Source organism: Homo sapiens, chromosome 5 (assembly GCF_000001405.40).
Source record: "Homo sapiens chromosome 5, GRCh38.p14 Primary Assembly".
Taxonomy (NCBI): domain Eukaryota; kingdom Metazoa; phylum Chordata; class Mammalia; order Primates; family Hominidae; genus Homo; species Homo sapiens.
The window spans coordinates 14,156,777-14,184,361 of record NC_000005.10 but is presented as its reverse complement, the minus strand read 5'-3'; the positions used below and the strand labels follow the sequence as shown (position 1 = coordinate 14,184,361).

At 42.4% G+C, this 27,585-nt stretch overlaps 1 protein-coding gene across 9 annotated transcripts in view, besides 3 other annotated features; it reads right to left on the bottom strand.

Annotated features, from left to right (window-relative positions):
* The window catches only part of TRIO (trio Rho guanine nucleotide exchange factor), a 366,863-nt gene that overhangs the window by 325,843 nt on the left and 13,435 nt on the right, over window positions 1–27,585 (bottom strand). The window contains exon 1 of one of the 9 annotated variants that reach the window (XM_011514109.4): window positions 403–27,585. The exons of the other annotated variants lie outside the window; for them this stretch is intronic. Coding sequence (XP_011512411.1) covers window positions 403–412 — 10 coding nt within the window. The 5' untranslated portion in view covers window positions 413–27,585. The remainder of the gene's footprint in view (window positions 1–402) is intronic. 9 annotated transcript variants of the gene reach the window in all.
* Window positions 9,690–10,215: an enhancer, noted in NCBI's record as "H3K27ac-H3K4me1 hESC enhancer chr5:14174256-14174781 (GRCh37/hg19 assembly coordinates)". NCBI's record gives its function as "activates a minimal SCP1, AML or CMV promoter by ChIP-STARR-seq in naive H9 embryonic stem cells {active_cell/tissue: H9 hESC(naive)}" and the evidence as "EXISTENCE:reporter gene assay evidence [ECO:0000049][PMID:30033119]".
* Window positions 16,073–16,122: an enhancer, noted in NCBI's record as "active region_22388". NCBI's record gives its function as "activates an Ori minimal core promoter by ATAC-STARR-seq in GM12878 lymphoblastoid cells {active_cell/tissue: GM12878}" and the evidence as "EXISTENCE:reporter gene assay evidence [ECO:0000049][PMID:35858748]".
* Window positions 16,723–16,822: an enhancer, noted in NCBI's record as "active region_22387". NCBI's record gives its function as "activates an Ori minimal core promoter by ATAC-STARR-seq in GM12878 lymphoblastoid cells {active_cell/tissue: GM12878}" and the evidence as "EXISTENCE:reporter gene assay evidence [ECO:0000049][PMID:35858748]".

Genomic DNA, 27,585 nt, shown 5'->3' with positions numbered 1-27,585 from the left:
AGGCCATGGGACAAGGTGGCCTTGCAGCCTTGGGACACATCACTGCAGCAGCTTCCCACTGTGATTTTGCTGAGCGGATACACAAACAGCGCACAGTGCTCCCTTCGGCTCTCAAAACAGAACTGCTGTTGCTAAGCTGAGGAGCAAATCTCTTTTAAAAAAACATTTCTAAATCCCCACAGGATGATTTCTGCAAGGCGTTTCGTTACTAGCCGGTTGGATTTTTAACAGACATGGCACCCAACCATCCAAACACACAACATTCTCTGTCATGGCTGCTCATCTGGCCTAGGAGCTCTGAGGTCAAGGTCCATCAACAGTCCTCCTAGAGAAACCCTCGAGCCACACATCAGAGAGCCAAAATAAGAACTGTATTTTTTAAAGTCTGGGACACATCCTTACCTTCTGCCATGTCCTCTTGGGTAATTTATTAATCTTTTTTAAAAAACGGTTACCACGAAAATAAAATCGAAGTAAAACAGTCACTATCTGCCAAAGGTTAACAGTTGGCAGTGTCCCTCAGGATCCCAGAACACCAACAAACAACCTCTAGATATCCCAAATGGGCAGTGAGGAGCAGCCAGCATGCTGTAACTGCGGCCGCATGCCTTCCCTCCTCAGCAAACGGGAGGGGCAGAAACAGCACAGAAAGTTTTGTTCCAGTTTTTGATCCAAGTCTGAAACCAAACCCATTATGGAGGGGGAAAAAAATGAGACTCTGATGGTTAAATAGCAATGTTAAATTCTTTTCTGTTTTTTTCTCTTTTTAATTACTCAGAGTTTCTTTAGGGCTTTTCTTGGGGGGGAAGGGAGGAGTTTATTGTTTTCAATTTTAGTCAAAGAAAGTAATACTTTATTTGTTTACATTTTTAGGGGATGCAATAATTATTCTGAAAGAGTACTTTAACAAACTGATCCCTTTTAAGCATCTTTTAAAGCAACAAGTCTCCAAGGACATATTTTTTCATTATGTAAACATACATATGTTTACTGCATACTTACTATTAAAGGAAGGGGAGAGAAAAGCCCCTGCTTACATCACAATCTTGCTGATGGAGAGAAGTCACAAAAAAATGACTCCCAAGGGCACAACATACGTCCCACAGAACTGCAGTTCAGAGACTTTCAACGGAGGGGAGCAAGGGAAAGCCTCACTAAGGTTGTAGCTTCTGTAAAAGTCCAGGCCACCGGGAACAAACCTAGCTGTGATAAGGAGTTAGCCCCAGGAGGCCAGAAGGAACAGGCATCCTTCTGAACCCTAACGAAGACCCCACCTCCCCAGCTCATGGAGCAGCTGGCCCCATCCTAGAGATGCACTGTTGTCTACCTGGTGCTGCCCAGAGGCCTGCGGAAAAGGATGGGGCCCTGGCCCAGCTCAGAGGAAAGGGAGCACAAAGGATGATGCGCTACAGCCAGGCCTGCAGGCAGGGGCACGCAAATGCCTGTAGCTGCCACCCTTGCTCTAGAACAAAGTGCACGGCAAAGTGGAGGGGGGGGGGTCTCCACTGTATTTGGTCCAATTTTCCTTAGGAAATCTCTGGAAAATCAGGGAAGGATTTTTAAAAATCATCAGAACTCCAAATTCATACCTAGGGAGCACTTCACCTGTCAGGAGAAATTAAGGGAATTCTTAAAGGCTAGTGAATGTTCCAACAGATAATGTCTTAGAAAGAAAAGCAAATCATGAGATTTAATCAGAGAAAAAGTACAGCAAGTGTAATAATTAATGGCATTTTCTTACAGACCAAGCTCCTACATGTAAATTTCTCACTAATTTTTAACACTTTAATTATCAACAAAATTAAGGCATAGAATTGATACTGTCATTGAATCATGTATGTATTACCACAAGATTTTTAGCTATGTCTATGGACAAGAAGAAACTTGCATTGTATTTGATAAGGCAATCATTTCTAAAACTTTGCTATTCCACCTACACTCTGACAACAATTTCTATCAGATATAAATTTGTCCCAAGGTAGAAGCATCTCTAAAGAGTGAGCCAAAGACTAACATTAAGATCCAGGGAACCAAGATGCTTTCTCAGCTAAGAGGGAACCAACAAGGAGTAATAGGCGGTTCTACCAAATAGGAGGACGTGCACTCTCTCTCCCTGAGCCTCACAGCAGAGCCGGGGTCCTTCCCACTTCCCAGAGGAGCCTGCTCCTGAGGAATAACACAGAGAAGTCTCGTTTATCAAATCTTCAGGCCACACAGCTCAGAGACGTCATTACTGTGTTGGATGAAAAGAAAAAAAAAAAATGCCCTTCAAAGATTTGAACAGGAAGAACCAAAAGTAATAACATGAAATTCAATGATATGTGGGAAGTGGTGTTCATATTCAAAATATTAATTTCTTAAATACAAGTCAGGGAGGATGGGGATGGGGAGAAGGAGATTAAAAACAGAGGACTGAATATTCTGGAGAGTTCTATGAGGTCAGACCTAGAATTTCAGACCCACATCAGCCCGGAGTGTAGAAACTACCAGAAAAGGAATAGTGAGGGCAAGTGGGGATGCAAAAGAGCCCAGGCCGGGAGGGGCGTGGCCACCATGTGGTCTTCAGACTTTCTCTTCTTTCTCCTGCCATCCATTCAAGACTCTGAACTTGGCCTCAATCCTCTAATCCACCTTTACAGACCCCTGACATTGGTCTCTAAGTCAAGCAGGGGGCAGCCAGCGTTTTCAGGACACTGAAATGGCCCTCAAAGGATTTCTGCAGTGCAGCTGCCTGGGGGCAACCGTAGACACAGGTCCTGTGTGAGTGGTCCCACGTGCCATCTCACAGACTACGCCCCCCAGAAACGCTCCACATCCACTCACAGGCCTGCCCACGACCATCTGCAATCTGGCACAAAGGCCATCACAGATTCTGAGATTGGGCAGGCCACAGAATGGCTGTGAAGTTCTAACAGACAGTGCCAGGGACCCCCCAGGCAGGAAACAACAGATGACGGTGACAGATAACTAGTTCTACAGATTTGTCTGGGCTCGGGTGAAGCAGCCCACAACAATTTTAGTTTCAACAAACACCAAAAACTTCAGAGAAGTACTAACAAAATTTCAAGCAGGCCAGTATCTGAAAGGACATTTCCTTTTCATGGTTCTCTAATACACTTTAAGGCATCCAAGAATAATACGGTATTTGTAGAAATTCTATATCCCTTAAATAAGATGTCTTTTTTTTTTAAGTCTGCAGTGTTAGCTGTATGTCCTACAAAAAGGTAAGAGCCTAAGAAATACAGCTAATAGAAGAATGAAACAAAAAAAAATACATTGTAGTATTCCATTGTTATTTTTTTATAATCCATATAATGGAAACAAGGAAAATTCTAAATGTGAATGTTTATGAACACAATTTTCTTGCATGTTCTTTATACCTTAACTTTTTTCTGAAGGATTTCCCTAGACAAAATTAAATATTTTAGTATATACAGAAAATAAGCCAACTCAAATCATAAATTTCAAAAGAAAATTAAAACTGCCTACCTACCTATATTTCTTTTTTTTTTTTGTGGGGGCACTGGGGGGACATGGGACCACTCACTCTGTCACCCAGGCTGAAGTACAGTGATGAAATCAGAGCTCATTGCAGCTTCAAACTCCTGGGCTCAAGAGATCCTCCTGCCTCAGCCTCCTGAGTAGCTAGGACTGCAACTGCGTGCCACCACACCCAGCTTTTTATTTTTTTGTAGAGATAGGATCTTGCTATGTTGCCCAGACTAGTCTCAAATTCCTGGCCTCAAGCGATCTTCCCACCTCGGCCTCTCAACTTGCTGGGATGACAGGCATGAGCCATTGTGTCTGGCCTATATTTTCATATGCAAAGATCAGACACTTCTAACAACATGGTCTGCCTTTTTTATTTAAGTTAAAAATGTGATTCTTACAAAGGAACAATTTAGGTTATATTCTTTAGAAGGCAAACAATCCTTATTTATTTAAGAATACTAACAGCTTTCATTTCAAACAATACTAAGTCTCAGCATAGTTTTATAAAAAGTTGTAAAGTCAGTTATCTTCTTTTGTCCCATTACCTTCAAAATAATCTTTTTTAATCCAATGAGAATAGGAAGCTCCAGGCAACATCTAATGATCGGTTTGGAAATTCAGGCCACAGACTGAAAATATCAGCATGTAACCAGCTTTTGATCCAGGTAACTTTAAGAGGTTGTGCCAGAAAACTAGGGAATATAACGCATAGGCTTTACCACATCTATATTACAGTTAATCTTTTTTTTTTTTTTTTTTTTTTTTTTTTGAGCAGGAGTCCTGCTCTGTCACCCAAGCTGGAGTGCAGTGGTGCGATCTCAGCTCACTGCAACCTCCGCCTCCTGGGTTCAAGCGATTCTCCAGCCTCAGCCTCCCGAGTGGCTGGGATTATAGGCGCGTGCCACCACGCCCAGCTAATGATTTTGTATTTTTTTAGTAGAGACGAGGTTTCTACTGGTCATGTTGGCCAGGCTGGTCTCAAACTCCCAACCTCAGGTGATCCACCCACCTCAGCCTCCCAGAGTGCCGGGATTACACACCTGAGCCACCATGCCCAGACAGTTAATCATTAATTTAGCCAATACATGTTCAAAAATCAAATGAACTTAAAATATGTGTAAAATTCCAGATTGAGGCTGGGTGTGGTGGCTCATGCCTATAATTCCAGCACGCTGGGAGGATGGCTTGAGCCCAGGAGTTCGAGATCAGCCTGGGCAAAACAGTGAAACTGCACTGCTACCAAAAGAAAAAAAAAAAATCAAAAACTGAGCTGGGCTTCGTGATGCATGCCTGGCTGAGGCAGGAGGATCACTTCAGCGGAGCTCAAGGCTGCAGTGAGCCGTGATTGTGCCACTGCTCCAAATTGGGCAACAGAGTGAGACCCTAAAAAAAATCCAGATTTTAAGAAAAAAAAAAAAAAGCTTTGTTGATTTATTTAAATATTTATATTACTGAAGAATTCTGAGGGCAGAACAAGTGAAAAGAATACATTTTTATTTTAAAATGGTTTTAAAATTGTAATGTAGTATTACAGAGTAATTAAGAACAAATACAAAACAATTCCTCTAACTTCACCGTATGTTTGAGTCTAGCACATGGTAAAGAAGTCACAGGGTACCTAACTGCTAAACAGGATTTCTCTCTCCATTCTGAGACACCAGACCCACAAAGGTGGGGGGTGGGGCCAAAGCGGGGTGGGTGGCAGGACGGGACACCGACGTGCTGGCCGGGAGCAGCAGGGGACTATGACCAAAACTCTTCCCTCACTCCAAATGGGAAGGCGGTGACAAAGGCTTTCTCACCACCCTCCAGTCCCGGCTTCTGCGGGGGTGGGGGGAGTACAAAGACCCCCTTCTGAGCTCTTGGTAAAGAAGGGTAGGACGCAAGCCAGGTCCTGGGGGCTGACAAATCCTGATTCATGGCTCAAGTCACACTTAGCTCACACACAAAATGAGCGATTCAGCCACTCCAGGCTATGGGGAGGAGGCTTCTTCAAATGTGCTGTAGGTCTGTTTTCAAACAGACCACCACTGACAGGAGGTGCTGACTCAGCAGCACCCCTGTGACCACTCTCCTTGGCCAACTGTCCATGCCTTTATGTATCCTGGACTGAGTCAAACATCATTTTATCCAAGTTAGGGGTGAGCCACAAAAAATGACCAGTGGGAGTCATAAATATCTTCACATGACTCTCACCCTCTACATACTGAATTATGAAACTATGGTCAGTCAGTAGGTCGAGTCATCACACATCCTAGCTTGACAGACACAGTCTCAGTTTACCCCTACTGTTCTAGAATAATTATTGGTAACACCCTCTTTCACTCTCAACACCATCTCTGTTTAGACAATTACGCGGTCAGCTTATCAAGAAATGTGAAGATATCAAAGCATCAATATTTGACAGCAACACCTGTCACCTTTCTAATACCAGGCAGGCACAAGGCTTTTTATCCACACCATAAGAGGGTTCCTAACATGCGGCCAGAACACAAGATTAACAGCCTACGTCTCTCACATGGAATCTGTGCAAACATCTCTATGCCAGTAAATTTGAATATTATTCATTTTCTCCCCTTTTTTAATTGACAGCATTCCTGTGTCAACAACCATCACCTACAAATGACCTCTCTTAAAAATCCTTGTGGTGTAGGACCACACGTACAACTCTGTTTCTGCTGCTTGTTTGGCAAATCCAAAGTAATAAAGGCCGAATGGAATCTCTGCCCTAGCAGACTATTTTTAGGGAAGAATGGTTAAAAGAAGTGGCAAAATGAATTACTCCACAAACAAGGAAAACCATGAATACAAGAGTATTTGTTAAAAGCAAACACAAAAGCCAAACACATGACAAACAGTATCTGTAATATTAAATTAAATGGTGAATAAATATAAAATAATCAAGTAAAACAAAAAAGTAGACAATGTTGATAAAATACTTGCAGTGCATTAGAAACAGAGCCAAGCCACGGTATGGTGAGGACCGATTTTGCTTTTCTGTTTAATAATGGGCCTGTGAAAATTCCAGAGAAAGTCTTGCATTAGCATGAAGATGCAAAGCAGCCCCTCCTTCCTGCAGTCCATATACTCAGCCCTCAAGACAGGCAGAAGGGAAACTCCTAGGCACCCAAGCCCAGGGACTGATGAGAAGTGGGAGACCTCTGGGCAGGAGACAGGAGGAGTGGTTCTTCCTCTCCAAGGGGTCCTGGGCTCTGGGACCCAGCGAGGGATGGAAGCCAGTCAGCCCGGCAATATTCTCTCTCTACCCTGTTAGCTTTTTTTGTTGTTGTTGTTCTTAAATTTCCTATCTGATCATAAACCACAGGTAGCAGGCTTAAAAGTACAAGAATCCTGGGCTATCCTTGAAGACACCCAGGTTCCAGAACAGGAGCTCCAGCAAGGATGGTACAAACCTAGGATGGTGCGTTTCAGAGCAGTCAGATACCAAGAATTATCATGAAATTCACACAAGTGCCAGAAGTGCATGTCACTAAAAAGACCTCTATGTTTGAAAATCCCCATAAGAAGATTTTCATAACATCTGCTCATATCCCGGTGATTACCAAAAAAAATTTAAAAGTGCCCTTTAAACTTGTGAAATATAAGCCACTAAAAGCAAAACTTAAAAGTGGTGGCTTGTAAGAGTTTTCTCACGTATATAACATAAATAATAATCTGTTTTCAACACTCAAGTGAATTCCAGAATAAATCACCTGCCCTCCTGGGGCATAACTGTATGCTCACCACTGTCAACCCATGAGTGCCCTGGGCGCTCAAACCTCAGGGCAGAGTCCATGGAACCCAATTACAGTATGTAAAGCTGGACACACAGTGTTTGAAAACAGGTTGTTTGTGCTTACCTAAGAATATTCTTATAAAAACTAAATGTAATGGTCAAGTGTTTCATTTCTAAAATGAATCTATTATAATATTATCAACCCTGTAATATGTGCATAAAATATTTAATGGCCATAAAGAAAAGTTAAAACCAGATTTTCAAGTGCCTGTGACTTAAGAAAAATTAAATGTTTTGGCTCTTTCCATTTACTTAACAGTAAGCAAAAAATGTTACTTTTGAAAAGTTCATGTTTCTAAATTTTAAAATCATCTTTAAAAGAATGAACTGAGGCTGGGCATGGTGGCTCCCGCCTCTAATCCCAGCACTTTGGGAGGCCAAGTGGGTAGGAGTTCAAGACCGGCCAAGGCAACTTGGTTGGTGAAACTCCACCGCTACAAAAAAATACAAAAATTAGTCAGGTGTGGTGGCACACGGCTGCAATCCCAGGTACTCGGGAGGCTGAGGTAGGAGGACTGCCTGAGCCCAGAAAATCGAGGCTGCAGTGAGCAGTGACTGTGCCTCCAGCCTAGGCAACAGAGCAAGACTCTGTTGTTTTTTTTTTGAGACAGAGTCTCGCTGTGTCACCCAGGCTGGGGTGCGGTGGCGCGATCTCGGCTCACTGTAAGCTCCGCCTCCCGGGTTCACGCCATTCTCCTGCCTCGGCCTCCTGAGTAGCTGGGACTACAGGCGCCCGCCACCATGTCCGGCTAATTTTTTTATTTTTAGTAGAGACGGGGTTTCACCGTGTTAGCCAGGATGATCTCGATCTCCTGACCTCGTGATCCGCCCGCCTCAGCTTCCCAAAGTGCTGGGATTACAGGTGTGAGCCACCAAGCCCAGCCTGACTCTGTCTTTAAAGAAAGAATGAACTGAATTTGTTTTTAACAGAGACAGGGTGGGTCTCACTTTGTTGCCCAGGCTGGCCTTGAACTCCTCCTCGACTCAAGTGATCGTCCCACCTCAGCTTCCCAAAGTGCTGGAATTACAGACATATGCCACCCTGCCTGGCTTTTCTAAGGAATTAGCATACAATGTATTTTTAAATAAGAATTATGGTTGATATTTGGTATTCTCAAATGCATTAACCTTCAGATATTCTTCACAAATCAGTATTGATGCAAAGGAAATACTTTTACTGTAACATGACACTTTGTGAACTTTTCTTTCATAAGGTGTATCTCCCCAACCCAGGACATTAGCAGTCTAGGTATCCCGTCTATTTTCATGACTCGCACAGATTTTGCGGAGCTCTCACTAAATGCATGTATAGTATTCTATGTTAGAAATAGGCTACATTATTGTACAGGGGAGTTTCCCAAATATTTGTGTAATTTTCAATGTGACTAGTTTTAAATAAAACTAGTTTTATTTAAAATGCCCAGGTAGATATAAGTAAGCTTTATTCTGAGTCTCATCATTTCTAACATTGAGAAACACAAGCTTGCAAAATATATGGTGCTTCCCCATCTGGGGTTATGTTCCCAGATCTAGTTTTGTATCTAGACATATCTCTAACTTTCAATACTATAATAATCTAGAATCTTTAGCTCCAAAGAATGTATAATTTACGCAGCAAAAAGCAAACAAAAAATGGAATCTATTACTAGATATTAAAACATTAAAGGAAGTAGGAATTGTTGAAAGGGACAAAGAAGTTCTAAGTAAGGAGTGGAAAAAACTGGAAAGGAATTAGAAAACGCCTTTTAGAAAGCATTTGAATCCTGCACATGTATATGTGCTATGTAACAAACCTGCACATTCTGCACATGTATCCCAAAACTTTAAGAAAAAAAGAAAAATTTAAATCCTGACAGCCATAAAGAGAAAACTGTAATCTCAATTCCAACCAGCAATTTTGGGGGAGTAGTATATTTCTAACTAGTGGCAATCTGGTGAAACTTATGAAGCTCTTCTCAGAACACTGTTTTTAAGTGCATAGAGAAACTTAACCAGAAAACCAATTATATCTAAAAAAAATAGTAATGATCATCAAAAGATTTTAAAGTAATATGTGCATCTTTACCACACATTAAATGAAAATAGCAGTCATTCTAGTAACTTCTACAGTTTTGAAGTGATGAGCATGAACAACATTTTGAGAGATCTGTAATAATTAATGTCGATTAAAAATATCTGCAGTATCCACAGGTGAAAAGTCACAGATACTGCTAGAACTACATTCACAATTGAAAGAAATACTGAATTTTATTGAGATCCACGAAAATAAAGATATAATTCATTTATTTCCTACCAAAATTCATAGGTCTCGACTGTAGACTAAAATCCCTGACTCTAGATACTATTATTTATTTGGCGATCTGACCTCTACCTATGGAGGGAATGTCACAAAAAGTGATCAAAGAACATCTTCTTAACTGGGGCCATAAACTCTGTGGCAGAATCTTCTTGGGGCAAGGGTTCAGGCCCGCAGCCTTGTGTGTGTTGTATACGACCCTGACGACTGCTGACCAGATGGCCTGACCCATCACGTGACCATCAGAAATGTGAAACTTTTCAGGGTTGCTCATCAATCCTGTCTTGAACTAGGAAGGTGAGAGGAAGTTGACTGGGTAGATAGAGAGGCAGGCGGGCATAAAGCCGACCCCTAGGGAGAAACAGGAAACAGAAACAAACTTGGAGCAGCTTTGCTGGGGCTTGCCTGTTCCCACTCGCAGCAGTTCCTCTTGGGGTGAGGTGGGGTTATACCACCTTCCCTCGGGTTAGCTCAGAGGATTCTTTATTCTGAAAATAAATTTCCTTTTTTGCTCCAGCAACCAAAAGTGCCTTAACTAAGTGAGGCTCTGAAAGCGTAGGGCAAACTCTGCATGCTCCTGCTCAACATGGGGACTGTTAACAACCACAGCAACAGAAGGTTACAGCCACACGGGTGGAAGGCAACTAGCGCTCATTTCTCCATAAATCAGCAGCTCTATCAAGTGGATCTCTCTAAACAGTACACAAAGAATCTATACTTTAGTGACCTCACATGTCAGCAGACATATTTCTCTGTCTTACTTTCCTACAACAGCCTTGCATAAATGGACTTGCAGCCGCTGGTGCTCACTGCTGGCCATTTGGGCAGCACTACTGGGTATTTCAAGAGAACAGCCAAGACATACAGACAGCATGTGGCTCTACATTTATACAAACTACTACAGGAGAGTAACAGTCACAGAGACAGACGCTTCTAATTTACATGTGGAAAACAAAGCAAACCTCTGTGCTCTTCTATCACTGTTACTGCTTTTAATTAGCAATAAGCAAACATAGAAAACCAAAATTACATTATCAGCCTAAGTGGGTGAAGTCAGTCTCTTAATCTGTCCTAAGCGTAGAGCTCTTCGATTCTGCTCTTACTGAAATGAACGGTGCCCCCAATCCTTATCTAATTATTCCTGATTGCCTGTAGCCTCCTAGGAAAAACAAAAAACAAAACAAAAAACAGTGGGCTTATTGCTTCTGTAAATGAAGACAAGGTGATTTTTATTAGCGGCTCACAGAACACTTAAGAACATTACCAGGCCAGGCGCGGTGACTCACACCTGTAATCCCAGCACTTTGGGAAGCTGAGGCGGGCGGATCACCTGAGGTCAGGAGTTGGAGACGAGCCTGACCAACATGGTGAAAGCCCGTCTCTACTGAAAATAGAAAAACTTAGCCGGACATGGTGGTGCATGCCTGCAGTCCCAGCTACTCGGGAGGCTGAGGCAGGAGAATTGCTTGAACCTGGGAGGTGAAGGTTGTAATTAGCCTAGATCTCGCCACTGCACTCCAGCCTGTGTTTCTGTCTCAAAAAAATAAATCCTCCCTCCCGCCAAAAAAAAAAAAAAAAAAAAAAAAAGGAACATACAATGTGAGCATCTGAGATGGCTGTTCAGTAACTTATACTCCTGGACCTCCTAGAGGAAGAGGTCTGACCACCCCAACCGTCACATTTCTCATATTACCCATGCCTAGTGATCAACTTCCCCTGAAACAAGCATTTTTGGAAAAGATTTTGCTGCTTGCAAATGTTTAGAAGCCATCAGAGGGGCTGGTGGGTGGGCCACCCCATTCCTCCCTATACCCTAAGTTGCAGGCTTGAGTGACTATTCGCTCCACCGCTGATCTTTCACAGCCCCACTCAAAGGCCAGCTCTTCCAGAGTCCACTCTGATCCCTCAGCAGGCTCAAGGATATGACACCTGCCTCAAGATAGCACCTATGTTATTCTGTATGCTGTAATTTGCTGTATCCAGTTCCACCTCCAAAAAATATGTTCCGTAAAGGATGGGATTACTTATCCCTCAGCTTATCCCCATTCTACAACTCATTTGTTTAACTGAATCCAATGGTCTTGAAAAAGCCTTCCACCTCAGTGATGCCACGAAGGCTCCACCTCTAATTCCGCACTTCACTGCATAGCCACAACACTCCGGTTTGATATCATCCCCCCTGTTATTGTGACCAAATGTGTTTCTGCCTGGTTAGAGTTGTGTTTTGGTTTAATCAACTGTTGTTAACCTGTCCCACTCCATTAAGCCAGTTCTTCAACAGAAGGGGCTTTATTCTGTGTGCCTGGTCAACACTCTGACTGCCACTTGAAAGTGACTGTCACTCAGAAGACAGGAGCCACTGCTTCTGAGATGAGTCTGCCTGTCACTACTCTCTGTGACACTGTTTAGTTATTTTGGAACTTTAGTCAATTTCAACCAAGACGCTAGATTTGTTCAAGCATTTCTACTAAATCTGCTGCACTTCCTGCTTCTCAGGGGCAAGTACTGCTTGGCTATTCAGTTACAGAGGTATTTTTAAGCCCAAAATCTGCCCTCAAGACAAATTAAAACAAAAATATGCACAATCTTTCTAAAACCTAACTGACACTGACTTCAAGCAAAAGTAACTCACAGCTTAGTAATGCTGCAGTGCTTATTAGTGTCCTAATGAATATAAAAGATAGAAAGAGAGAGAACAGATTGGCAAAAAGTTAACAGTGAATTGAAGGGAAGGGTATTCAGATGCTCAATGCACTACTCAACTTATCTGCAGGTGTATGTAATTCTTTTCAAAACATAAGAGGAATGGGATTATGACACCTTGCATACAAGGATATCTTTGCTCACTTTTGCAAAATGGAAAAGAGTGTGTATACATAATCTTCTATAACTACAGAACTTGGCCACATAAGCACTCAGCAGTATTTCACAACCCAAACTGGCTGAAAAGGCTACTCTAGGTCCACATATCTACTAACCACCGACCATCCCCCCACCCCGCTCCTTCCTGCCGTCTCTTTCTTGCTTTTTAATTTTATAACCAGGAAGAAGCTTAAGACTGAATAATACCCAGCAACAGCAACTAAGTAGTCCTTAAACACAGTCCAGTTTCAGATACTCTATTACTTAACAGTTTCTTAAAAAATTAATTCTGAAGCAACCTACCCACACCTCTGTGGGTGATATCCATCTGTACCTCCACCGGTGATAAGACTACATAAGAACAGTGTTTGGCTAAACTCTACCTTTATCCTTCATTAGCCCAAATAATTTACAGCTATCTAATTTTGACCTCCGGCTCATCAGCTTATGGTCTACATTCAAATGTTATAAAGTTTAGTTAGCCAGCATTACCTTATATGGTGCAATTTTAAAGTCTTTCAAACACTGAAAAACGTAGATTTACATTCCTGCAGTTTTGGTCAAAAGCAGTGATTATTTACTGTGACCAAAGGCCGACTTAGTCAACAGGTTTTTCTCATAATGGCATGATATTTTTGGCAAACTATTATAAAATATTTTGTTTCTTCTATAACAATGTAATAACTCATTGCGTGTACAGTTCTTTGTGGTCATGCAAACTGAAGTGACAAACTAAATGATTTACTTATTTTCTTGGGCAAGTCAGGTTCGGCTGGATCCTCTGAATGTTCTTGGTATCTTTAATACTCTAGAATTGTAACAATTTCCAACTGTTCACCCAAAATATCTTCATGATATTTTATTTTAGGGCAAGGAATATAATTTAAGATTTGGAATGCTAAAACAGAGTCAAGTTTCAGTAATTTTTCATTACTTATACATTGTTAATATTCCATCTTCATTTCATCTAACACTGAAATTGTATATTAAGTTAAAAACAAATATGTACTTATATTTTATTCTAGTATTTTCAATGTAAATAGTTAAATAAAGTGATAAAGATAGTTCCCTAGATGTAATATTATCTTTCAAGAGAATATATTACATCTCGAGCCAGGCACAGAGGTTCACTCCTGTAATCCCAGCACTTTGGGAAGCGAAGGCGAGAGGATCACTGAAGTCAGGAGTTCCAGACCACGCTGGCCAACATGGTGAAACCCCGTCTCGACTAAAGTACAAAAATTAGCCAGGCATGGTGGAGCACGCCTGTAATCCCAGCTACTCGGGAGGCTGAGGCAGGAGAATCACCTGAACCCAGGAGGTGGACGTTGCAGTGAGCCAAGATTGCACCACTGCACTCCAGGCTAGGCGACAAAGCAAGACTTCTCCAAAAAAAAAAAAAAAAAAGAGAGAGAAGCTTCACTTTTAGTGACTGTTTAGCACATAGCAGGTTCTCAGCCAATGTTCAATGCATGAATAAGAATCAAAGATTGTTTTAAATAAAAGTTAAACTGAAGGGTGGAGGGTTCAAGCAACTAAAGATTACCAAAAGCAAATGTACAACAATTTTAAACAAAACCAAACCTTTCTAACTACAGTATATACAAACTACTATAATCTCTCCATTGAATTTTTTAATTACGAAAGAAAAAAGCTAGATATTATCTATATTATAAAGCTCTCACAAAGAACTTTATAAGTCTTTTTTATATGTCTAGTAGGAAACTTACCAAAAAAGAAAAAAAGGCTTTCCAAACATGTTATAACAAAAATCGCTGGTTTGGATAAAACACAGAAAACGCATCCCAGGATTACAGATGAGCTCCATCAGTCAATTCCCTCGGTGCCTGCCAAGCAGCCTGACTTCAGAACTTCTTTCACCTTTTCCCTCTCCCTCTCCCTCTCCCCAATTTCATTGGCTTTCCATTAAATCACCTGGAACACCACTTTTCTAAAAGACTGTCTCCTTTGCCTATGAAAACTAGCTACCACTTGTTTTTAGTAATAAAGCCTTTCTAAAATGCTTTGCCTAATTACCACATCACTCTACAGATGGTCACAACACAACTGCATGTTTCAAGTACAATCAACTTACAGATATTCTCAAGCTAATCCCAAAATGCCATTAAGTGCTTATCACTTTAATTTTCCAAAGGTAGATTTGAATCCATCAGTGGGTGATCCTTTTTTTTAAGAACTCACAGTGAATCCAACATGAAAAACCATAATTAAGAGGTTTAAAACAATTTTATTACCACCACTGCACAAAGTAAGGGTGAACAAGTTATACTTCATGTCACACACACGTGTGTGTTCGATGAATAACAACTCAAGTGGTCCAGGTGAATAAAGTAAAGAACACCAAAGACTTGACAATCACAAGAGAAACCAACGTCTAAGAATTTATGAAACTGGGCAAGTTATTTCCTGGGACTCAATGGTAAAGACACAGCAGTAATCCAAATTTTCCATCTTTGAAATTTTCCATCTTTCAGTCAATATTAGTAATACCTGGGTCAAAGGGGAGAGTTAGGCATACCAATTAATGATCATCAGAAATGACATAGTCCTACAAAAGCAAAGAAAATTTAGAGACACTTTCTTAAAAATACGACTCTTGGTACTGTTGAAGAAAACTGTATGAGGAAGAACGTGATGTAAAAATAAAAATGGGGAACCTTCCATCTAAAAAAGAGAAAAGTAAAAAAAAAAAAAAAAGGCAGTTTTATTGCCCATTAAAAAAGAATATAACGGAGTTGAACATAAGTAGACCAGGATGTCTCAAATTTCCCTTTAATTCTGTCCAACACAAAGAACGAGAAACCTAAACCATGCATTCACCTCAAATAACCCAATTAAAAAGCAAAAATCAAACAGCAGTAGTCAAAAAACTAATCCCCTAAGTAGAGGCTCCATGTGCAAAGTCCAGATTGCAGGTAGGACAGTCGGCAAGGCCTCCCTGTTTCACAGCTCTCTTCCCAACCCGTGGACAAAGACTACGGTCTGCCGCCAGGAGCGGAATGCCAGATAGACCTTGGGTTTCTCAGTGACACTTCCAAAGACACATTTGCATCTCAACACTTTTTCCAAAAAGCAAGCTGAAACATGTATTGGTAATTAAAATGAGAAGATGGCCACATAGATGGACATATAGTAACAAAAACTGAAATGTTTAAACCACAAATGATAGTATAACTCACAAACCATGGCACTCACCAAGTCAAAGAAGTCAAATAAAGCCAGACCAACTGAATGCTAGCTAAAAAGGGCGGAACTCAGAATCAGAAGAAACAGGAAGAAGACATGCACCACAAACACAGCACTAGAAAACAGCACCCAGAGCCATACAAGTCATTCTGCTGCAGACAAACAATAAATTGCACATCAATCCTCCTGAAAATCAACTACAGTACAAGGAGAAATGAACCGATTTATATCAGGCTGTGTAAGTCTCATTCTGTTGGCCAATAGCCAGATCCACTTGGGAATCTCCTATTTTAAAAATATGAGTAATGTACTTGTAGAGAGCCTATTTAGTTCACCTACGTGGGACCTCCCTATTTGGGGGATTTCAGGGTAAACTTCTTCAAGTGAATGTCTTGCATTAGGCTGTGTGAACAGCACATAAAACTCAGTCATGAATTAAACACGTGGCATATCCAGTTCTCACGGATGATAAGGTCCATGAAATCAGTGAGAGCATTTCACTGATTTCAGGATGACACACTTGAGTGTGAGGCTGTGAGTATTTACACCTGTGAACACCGCCATTTTTCACAGCTATTCTGGCTTCTCTTCCAATTGTTCTAGAAACTTTTCCAGGGATCCTGCCAGAAATTAGTAACATTCTTAAGAGTACTAATTTCAGACACATGTGAAGAACTATCTTGTAAACCCCATCTTAGCTTCTTCCCTTCCTGATTTGCTATGGCTTAAATACCTCCTCAGTATCACACAATTATCAGATGATTCTGATATATAGATTAAAAAGCACAATTTAAAAAAAAGAGATTTAAGTCAATCTCTACTAAGTAAGAAATGAATGTTCAGTATTTAGGTAAAGCAAGGGTACTTGTTCCACTGGTGGTGGGTCAGGGGGACTAGTGAATGCTGCCAGTAACAGCCCTTCATGGTGCATCCACCCAGAACCATGCTCCTCTTCAAGGGCACCAAGAGCTCCTTAGAGGCCCTTGCCCAGCCTCTGACTCACACCTATCCCCGGATCTTAGTACATGTGGCCTGCAAGCTTTCTCTTCATGATGTCTGGGGCAAGTCTCAGTTCTTCCAAGGCAGGCCCCAGAAATCAGCATTTTCTAGTACTAGTATTATCCCAAGCCCTAGGCAATAGGGTTAAGATTTAAACAATGGGTATCTTTTCTTAAAATACTTTTTCTTTAACAAGACTGTTTTTGGAATCCTGCTTTATAGAAACAATCTGACCTATTTATGAAAAACTGGGTTGGCCTCATATTGACGTGTGTGATTTCAAACAGCCCTGCAGCCTGCTTTCAGGTTCGTGTAAATAAAGTTTTGACGCTGGGGAGAAGTCCTAAAAATGGAAGTGAAGTATGGAAATGGGGAGACAGGGCAAGACCTGGAACATTCTTAACGGGCTCATGGAACATACTCCTGTAAAAATATACCCAAGAACTTAGCAAATCTTACCAATGCCATCTTCCCCCCAGAGTTACTGTTCCACAGCCTAATCATTAGGAAACAGAAATCAACTCATTAACACATAATAGAAACACCAGAGGCAACTAGATCTTAAATCTCAAAGGAAACCTGATAATGGATGCTTCTTCACCCTCCATTGACTGATCAAACCCAGTGATCGGTCAGAAAATATTAATTAGGGTCCACGGGGAGCCTGGTCAATCTAGAGACTGAGGAATTGTGCAGAAGACATAAGCCCAAGAATGGGCGCTTGAGGACTAATTATTAACAGTGAACAGCAGTTAGATCCACAGCAACTTGCCAAGTGAACACAGCCCAACAAACAGGGGTAGCTGCTTTTGCTGAGACCTCCCTTCTCCACTGCTGCCTATGCCCATATTCCACAGACACGCACACCTCATCCGTAAGAATCTACCGTCTCCCTTTCTCCTTTTTCCCCTCTCATGAATTTCTACTGGAGAGGACATTACACCATAAAATGGCCCAGCCTCTGGCCCAGTTTTGCTGGCTCAATAGTTACCACGTCCCACCAGCCTCCTGAGACAGGGAAACTGGCCACTGGACTTGGGGATGCAGCAAGCGCTTGTTCTTGCTTTTGGTGAACACTTACTAAGCACTGACTATGTGCTGAGCACTCGGGGCAGAGGGATGAGTAGGAGTTAACCTCAACATGAACTGCAGCTCGGAAAAGAAAACGTCAAGAAGAAATCACATGACACCAGGGCAACTGAGCCAAAACAATTTTTAAGGAATAATATACCACAATTTAGAAAAAGGGATTAAATTACCCCGAAATTAAGAAGCATCACACTTATTTGCTAAGCCAAATCTATTAAGATCACCATAAAATGCAAATTTTAAATCAGACAAAACTGTGCTTAAAGGGGATTGGGATCAAGCAGTAAGAGAATTAAGTGTCAAGAGACCCCACTAAGTGACGGGACGACTGAGAGACAGGAAGGGGACATGCAGAAGAAGACAGGCTCAGACCCAGGGCCTTGGGGCAGAAAAGAAGGGGGTGCCCCCCAGGCACGGCTTACCCCCAGGTGAAGTCTGTAGTGAGGTGCTAATGCAGAATCCAACAGACTCTCCACCGGGAGCATCCCCCTAAATTCCTGCCCCACAAATCAGACTCATCTCTAACTGCCTCCAGCACAGTTTAGCAATGGGCAATGGCCATGAGTGACACCGTCACTCTTAAGTGGTCAAAGAAGAATGAGAAACAAGAGAAATGCAGGAGAAAGGAAGAAATGAGAAAAAGAGGAGCTAAAACAGAATGATAAGGAGTCCATTTACAGAAGAAAGGCATTCATTCACTCAGCAGGTCTGGATGCAGTCCATCTGGGCCTAGCGGCCACCTACCATCCCAGGATGGTTGGCGTTCCTACCTCTGGAGGCTGGGAAACCCAGACCCACAAGGCTAAGAATGACACCACCGGTAGAGTTCACTGTGCAGGAGGGCACCTGGGATCCAGGGGCCTTTGTGAAAATGCTTACTTCTGGGCAAATGCAGCTCTGTCTGCGAAGGGCTACATCCCTTCCCAAGGAAAGGTTGAGAATGACCTCAGGATGAGTCACTCTCCTAAACAAAGGAAAGTCCCTTTGAAGGGTCCACAGAGACACAGAGCCTCAGAAAGACAGACAGAGGGTCAACAGGAAGAATAAAATAAAAATACAGCTGCACTATTCACAACAGCAAAGACATGAAGTCAACCCACGTGCCCGCCAATGGTAGACTGGATAAAGAAAAGGTGGTACATATACACCATGGAATACTACGCATTGATTAAAAAAGAATGAAATCATGTCTTTTGCAGGAACACGGATGGAACTGGAGGCCATAATCTTAATTAACACAGGAACAGAAAACCAAATACTGCATGTTCTCGCTTATAAGTGGGAGCTAACATTAAGGATGCATGGACGTAAATACAGGAACACTAGACACTGTGGACTACCAGAGGGTGAGGGTGTCGGTTTAAAAACTACGCATCAGGTACTATGCTCACTACCTGGGTGACGGGATCCATATTCCAAACCTTAGCATCAAGCAATATTCTCACATAACAAATCTGCTCGTATATCCCCTGTATCTAAAATAAAAGTTGAAATAAAATAAAAATAAAAGTAGAGCTACTGGGAAGGCTTAAAGGGGCAACACGGGTAAGGGGACGGCTTTGATCCATTTGATTTCCCTGAGAGTGCCCTTCCTTCCTTTGTTGAGAGACAGCAGCTCCACAGCCACTGTGCACCCAAGGACCACCTGGCAAGGGCCATCTGTTCTGTGGCCTGTGCCTGTTCCAGACCCAGGGTTCCCAGGAGCCTTACGTGCCATTAGTGTTTGTAAAGTAACTAAACAGGCAAAATGACAGCAACACTTAGGGCATGGGGCCTATATGTAAAGAGCTGAATTGGACTTAGACATGCAGATACTCCAATGATGAAATCCCTCTGGCAAGAGTAACTGACAAGGCAATACTGCAAGGAAAAGACAATCATAATGACATCAGGGGGTCAGGTGACAGGAGCAAAATTTTGACCAAAGGTAAAAGTTTACATTTCCCTACTAATGAGAAATAAGATCATGGAGAACTACTTACTCTTTAAATCCAGTACGTTGAGAGGCCATTGTTTAAATCTGCCTGAAGCAATCTCAGGAAAACAAGATCCTGAGCGTGGCACAACAGAGCCTTTGTGCCCTCAATGAAAATCGGATTCTTGAACAAATACTACCATCAGTCTCACCTCACTACCATGACATGTGGCTTTACAGAACCAAACACCCTCTCCTGAAGCCATGCAATTCAATACCCAGGTAATCTGATTCCAATTTATTTAAGCTGGAGCTAGCCCATTCTGGGGCAGGACAGTTACCAGGAGGTTGAGCCAACCTTGTCTTGTAGTATGACATGCTCATCAAGGAAATTATAGCTTATTTCCACACTATTTCCCTCACTCCTGTAATGGCTCTAAGCCCTTCTGATAAGACTGTTTTTCAGATGCTTTCTGATATAATTACCTAGCACTTTTATAAAAAATTTTCTAGCATTGACACAGAAGTGTCAAAGAATTTAAGTCACGTGAATGTGTCATCCTGAGGTAAAAATTGCTATATCCAACAGGGTCAGGCTCACAACTGACCTCTCTGTCCCACTGCTGAGTGGCATCAGAAACCCCCATTAGTATAAGCAGTGTAGGCTAGTAAAAAAGGAGTCAAAGAAAGTGCTCACTACTATGAATGTCTGGATTCAGTTAAAACACACATTCACACAAGAGCAACTCAGGAATTATCTGGAGATCGGAAAACTTACTTAATTTCCTACTGTATGACACATAAGAAATGAGGCTCATGAAAATGTATGAAGAGCCTATTTAAGATTCCTGAATACTTCAAGCATGTGAGAATAAAACCATATGAAATAGTTGTGTTAATATATGTCTAACTACAAGTACTTTAAAAATAAGGTAAGCTTTATTAGATTTTTAAATTACACTCACAGGATTATGATTTTGTTAATTTGAAATGTTTTAGGTACATATCTACTCTGGTCATCTACAACAATGTGCATGTGTGAATGTGCCAGAATCCCAATCAGGATGCAGCTCCCTGCAAGAGGCAATAGTTGTCCTTAATGAAGGATACAATCTTTTAAGACTTACACATCAGACCCAGGCTAGAATAGAGAGACAGAAAAAATTTCAAAGAAGTCTCCTTTTAGAAAATACCCTTTAGTTGGCCAGGCCTGGTGGCTCACACCTATAATCCCAGCACTTTAAGAAGCTGAGGCAGGTGGTTCGAGACCAGCCTGGCCAACATGGTGAAACCCCGTCTCTACTAAAAATACAAAATTTACACCATAGAATACTATGCAGCCATAAAAAAGAATGAGTTCATTTCCTTTTCAGGGACATGGATGAAGTGGGAAGCCATCATTCTTGGCAAACTAACACAGGAACAGAAAACCAAACACCACATGTTCTCACTTATAAGTAAGAGTTGAACAATGAGAAGATATGGGCACAGGGAGGGGAACATCACACACCGGACCAGGGCCTGTCCAGGGATGGGGGGCAAAGGGAGGGAGGGCATAAGGACTAATACCTAATGCATGCAGGGCTTAAAACCTAGACGATGAGTTGATAGGTGTAACAAACCACCACGGCATGTGTATACCTATGTAACAAACCTGCACGTTCTGCACATGTATCCCAGAACTTAAAGTAAAATTTAAAAAACAAAAAAACAAACAAACAAAAAATAAAAATTAGCCAGGCATGGTGGTACACACCTGTACTCCCAGCTACTCAGGAGGCTGAGGCAGGAGAATCACTTGAACCTGGGAGGTGGAGGCTGCAGTGAGCCAAGATCGTGCCACTGCATGCCAGCCTGGGCAAGAGAGAGAGACACTGTCTCAAAAGAGAAGAAAAAAAAAGAAAATACCCTTTATGTGGTTGATGACATATAAAAACACCTTGGAAGTGATTATGCTGCCTGAATCTACATGATCATATAATACTTGCAAACAGAACTGCACTTGCAAAGGAATACGATTATCATCAAGCCAGGATATAAAAATGATCCCTGACCAGTGCTATCAAAATAATAAGGAAGACAGGCTCATTATTCTATATATCCAGGGAACTGAGGGGAAAATATACAAGCAAAGTTAAGGAAGCCACTCCTAAAATGCTTTCACATACCACACTGTGTATGTGGCATATCTAATACCCATTTTAGATCTCACTCAATATGAACTCTGCCATTTTTATAGGTAAAAGAACAAAGTAAAAACTGATACCTTCAATGTTCTCAAGGTCAGTACAAAGAATATGGGCTAGAAGAGTGTTAAATTACAAGCCATCTGTTCTGATAATTTACGACATGATTTCTCTAATCTCCTTCAACACTACACAATATCTCTATGGCAACACAGTGACTTCAAATGAGAGTTTGAAGGGCCAATTGTGCCTTCAGTATGTTCACAGAGCAGGAAGCTCCTCCACGAGCCAGGATCTTCTCCTTCATGGAGCACATCCTCATCATAAAGGGACTGCATTCATTTTCTCCACTCTCTCCAGATATGTGAATGGAATGATTCTGCAAACTGCACTTACACCTTACTCCAAATTGGCCGTGATTCCATAACCCACAACTAATACTGTGCCTTGGCATAACTCGGTGGTTCCTAACCCTAGCTGTGCGTCTAAATTCCCAGTAGAGACCAGGCATGGCGGTTCACACCTGGAATCCCAGCACTTCAGGAGGCCAAGACAGGCAGATGGCTGGAGTCCAGGAGGTTGAGACCTGCCTGGCCTCCATGGCAAGACCCCATTTCTACAAAAAACTAGCCAGGCATAGTGGTATGCACCTGCAATCCCAGCTACTCAGGAGGCTAAGGTGGGTGGATCGCCTGAGCCCACAAGGTGAAGGCTGCAGTAAGCCATAATCACACCACTGAACTCTAGCCTGGGTGACAGGGTGAGACGCTGTCTCAAAACAAACTACAAGTAGAGTTTTTTCAAAATACATTTCTAGGGGCCTAATCTAGAACCACTAAATCAGAATCTCTAGGGATTCTGTATTTTTAAAGAAAACTTTCCAGGTAATTATGCTAAAATCTGAGTTAAGGAACCACAGGCATAAATCACAACAACCATCTACTGCACTTCTACCTGGGGACTGCTCTGGGCCGGCGCTGGGGTCAGAGGTCCCAGCAACTCAAACTCACGAGTGAAGGAACAATTATAACCCAAAGGAACCAGTCCAGAATCCAGTTCTCACAAAGTGTCATGCCAACACCAATGGGCCTCAAGAGGCTGGGACAGGATGGTCAAGTGCAGTTTTCCAAAGGAAAGGATGTTTGAGCTGAGTTAGGAAGGGAAACCAGGAAGAAGAGGGAACAGCAAACACAAAGAGGTACAGGTACAAGAGCACAAGACACACAGGCCAACAGGGGCAAGAAGTCCAAGTTTCCCAGGAGGTCTGCCCAGCTACAAAGGACAGACTGATCTGCAACTAAGAAATGTGTGTTTGAGCCAGGCATGGTAGCTCACACCTGTAATCCCAGCACTTTGGGAGGCCAAGGTGTATCACTGGAGGTCAGGAGTTCAAGACCAGCCTGGCCAACATGGTGAAACCCCATCTCTACAAAAATACAAAAATTAGCCGGGTGTGGTGGCGCATGCCTGTAATCCCAGTTACAAGGAGACTAAGGCAGGAGAATCGCTTGAACCCAGGAGGCAGAAGATAGAGTGAGTCAAAATCACACCGCTGCACTCCAGCCTGGGCGACAGAGCAAGACTCCATCTCAAAAAAAATAATAAATGTATGTTTGGGCATCACATGTGGCCTTGGTTACAAAGTGCCATCCTAGACCATGCAAACAAAAAGAGGAGCTTCAGTGGGAGAAAGGGACGAGTCGGGAAGGAGATCTGAGAATAATTCTGCACTGGTCTTCACCAAATTCCTCACCTGTAACACAAGTAAAATAGGCGTGTACCAGTAAATGTGTGATAAATGGGAGCTAACACATGATGTCTTTTTAAGAGCATCTCAAATTTCATTTCCACCTTGAGGGCAATTTCAATTAGGTAGACTTGAGCTAGTTGATCATCTTTTATAATTTTAATTTCTACATTATTCCCCAGCACATTTTTAAAAGAGGCCAAAAGAGAGAATCTGCCTAATCATCTTGCCTCTTTAGACTATCAGCTCCCACTGGACAGAGTATTATTTTTGTCTTCTCCAGCTGTATGGCACCTGGCATGTTGACGTTACTCAAGGGATAAACAGCTCATTCATTACACAGTGTCATGTATATTAAATAATGTCCATAACGTCCTTTGAAGATGAAAACCACTTCAAGCACTAAATAATTCTGAGCTAGGCATTTGAAACTGGGAAACAAAGATGACAGTCCAAACATCATGAAAAGGTCACCCCCCGGCGGGAGGCACTGCACTAAGAGACTCTTGTTCTGACAGACCTCTGGTCCCTTTGCAGGCATTCTACCCAGCAGACCAACCCCAACCTGCTCTACGTGTTCTTAATGTATATAACTGGCGAGAAGGTTTCAAAACACCACAAAGAACAAAAGTCCTTAGAGGCTCATTTCTTTCAGGGACTGTGCCCAAAATAAATTTCAAAGCCACACAAATTCTTCTGCGATGTCTCTTTTTTAATTGAGTTGGAATACTCTGTATGAAGTGTCAACTCAATTCTAAAACAGGCACAATGAAAATTATTGCAACAGAGCATATGCGATTTTATGCAAATTAATGCCGTTTCTGTTTTAGAGTCTAACAACATACTCTATGTCTCGGTCTATATGCTGGTGAGCAGAGGTGACTCCAATATTCAAGAATATAAAGCTCGGCCGGACGCGGTGGCTCACGCCTGTAATCCCAGCACTTTGGGAGGCCGAGGCGGGCAGATCAGGAAGTCAAGAGATGGAGACCATCCTGGCAAACATGGTAAAACCCTGTCTCTACTAAAAATGCAAAAATAAATGAGCTGGGTGTGGTGGCGCATGCCTGTAATCCCAGCTATTCGGGAGGCTGAGGCAGGAGTATCGCTCAGGAGATGGAGGTTGCAGTGAGCCGAGGTCGTGCCACTGCACTCCAGCCTGGCAACAGAGCAAGACTCCATCTCAAAAAAAAAAAAAGAAAAAAAATATAAAGCTCACACTAGCAGAAAAACAATGACACCGATTTTTAATGTTAATATCACTTTCAGGAGAAGCATAGCAGAAAGTTGCCTCTCCCTTCAACTTTCCCAGAATGTTTAAAAAACAATAAAAGCTAAAGCATCATCAGTTTCCACTTTTTCAGCTATGCTCTTCACTATCTCAAAAGACACCACCAGGACTGAAACAATCTACAGGGAAGCAAAGTCTCTCTCTCTTTTTTTTTTTTTTTGACTGCGATTTCCTGAAAAGTTAACCCAGGTTTTTCCACAAAATTTCCAAATATGCCATCAAATCACAACTGAAACCTGGTCAAATCTTATCCACAATCCCCTCCTTCAAATAGAGGTGATTTCACTTTTTCTAACACCAAAAAAAGGGAGAGGGGGAGTGGGAGTAGAAAAAACTGAGTCAAATTCCTCCATAAGAGACGCACGTCAGAGTAGGAGACACCAGCACAGGCGGATTCCACCCCCGGCAGAACCCACTGTGCGCGTGGTAACCTTGTCCCTATAGCCACCTGAGCTGGGGCAAGTTAAAAAACCTCTCTGAGTTCCATTTCCTCAGGTATAATGTTATCACTGCCTACTTTGTAAGGGGTAGGAAAATTAAGTGGCTTATACATAGTAAACACTCAATAACTGAAGCTATTTCAAAATCTGAAATGTATCACACATTTAGCCATGACTTTTTGTTCTTTATTTTTATTTATTTATTTAAGAGACAGCGTGTCATCGCTCTGTTGCCCAGGCTAGAGTGCAGTAGCACAATCATGGCTCACTACAGCCTCAAACTCCTAGGCTCAAGCAATCCTCCCACCTCAGCCTCTTGAACAGCTGGGACTACAGGTGCACGCCACCAAGCCCAGCGAATTTTAAATTTTTGGTAGATACTGAATCTCACTATGTTGCCCAGGCTGGTCTCAAACTGCTGGGCTCAAGAGATTCTCCCACCTTGGCCTCCCAAAATGCTGGGATTACAGGCAGAAATCACCGTTTCCAGCCTCATCACTATCTAATTCCAAAACATCTCCATTAGCTCAAAAACTTTCCTCAGAATGTTTGACCTATTAGCAGTCATTCTCACTACCCCTAGTCATGACTTTTTACTCCCAGATTTTTTTTTTTTTTGAGGCGGAGTCTCACTCTGCCGCCAGGCTGTAGTGCAGTGGCGTGATCTCAGTTCACTGCACCCTCTGCCTCCCGGGTTCAAGCGCTTCTTCTGCCTCAGCCTCTCCAGTAGCTGGGACTACAGGCGTGCACCACCACGCTCAGCTAATTTTCATATTTTTAGTAGAGACAGGGTTTCACCACGTTGGCCAGGATGGTCTCGATCTCTTGACCTCGTGATCCGCATGCTTCGGGCTCCTAAAGTGCTGGGATTACAGGTGTGAGCCACAGCGCCCGGCCTATTCCCAGTTTTCTAATATCAAAAGCCCTTCTCCATTAAAATATTAATAAGCAAATTATGATTTTTTTTCTTGCTAAAATGTGTCATCATAGAAAGGGTTGCTAGAAATACAGAGGCCAAATTTTCCAGAACACAATCTAACAAGCATGAGGATGTTTATGGGCAGTACAGAACATAATATATGAAACTGAGACTGTCTCCCCAAGTCAGCGACGTAATATCCGTGTCATCATTTAATGTAGAAAAACACAGAACAGGCTGGGTGCAGTGGCTCCTGTGTATAATCTCAAGCCTTTGGGAGACTGAGGCAGGTGGATCGCTTGAGCCCAGGAGTTCAAGACCAGCCTGGGCAACATGGCGAAACCCCATCTCTACAAAAAAAGATACAAAAATTAGCTGGGTGTCGTGGCACATGCTCAAAGTCTCAGCTACTTAGGAGACTGAGGCAGGATCACTTGAGCCCAGAAGATGGAGGCTGCAGTGAGCCGAGATCATACTACTGCACTCCAGCCTGGGCAAGAACAAGACCCTGTCTCGAAAGAAAGAGAGAAAGAGAGAGACAGGGAGAGAGAGAGAGAGACAGGGAGAGAGAGAGAGACAGGGAGAGAGAGGGAGACAGGGAGAGAGAGGGAGACAGGGAGAGAGAGGGAGACAGGGAGAGAGAGGGAGACAGGGAGAGAGAGGGAGACAGGGAGAGAGAGGGAGACAGGGAGAGAGAGGGAGACACAGGGAGGGAGGCGGGGAGGGGGAGAGAGAGAGAAAGAGAGAGAGAAAAGAAAAATACAGAACAGCAAATGAAATCCTAAGATCTCACCCACCGTTCCATGATTTCTGGGACTGACTGCACATAAACTCAGTTCCCAGAAATCCCGCACTGAGGCAGAAACATAGCTGCTTTGAATTTACTGCAGGTGGTTTCTGGGAAGAAATATTTAGTCAATGAAGGGCAGTAAGCAACAGTCTTTCAAGTCATGACTCACAGCTTACTCCAACACATGAACTCAGCTTCTTCTCCTCCTTGTAGAATGTACTGGATCCCTGAGAAAGGTCCGCTCGACCCATCCTCCTCTACACACCCATTCTCACTGGCTCAACACTTTCCTTTTTATTTCTTCTCTTTGGCAATTTGTACATTGAGATGAAGATGACAAACTGTTTTTCCCACAACAGGTGTCCTTTTTATAAACTGTATGAAATTAATCTCCCTTTCTTCTCTGGCGACTCCTGATTTTTCAATTTTGTGCTCCGACATCACCAGAAAGTAAGCTGTTGATGGAGTCTGGCAGCTCTTTTCTTAAACATGCCCCTGGGGAACTGCAGAGCATTACTTCATCTGTTTTGTTTGGATGACTAACTGACAAGGCACT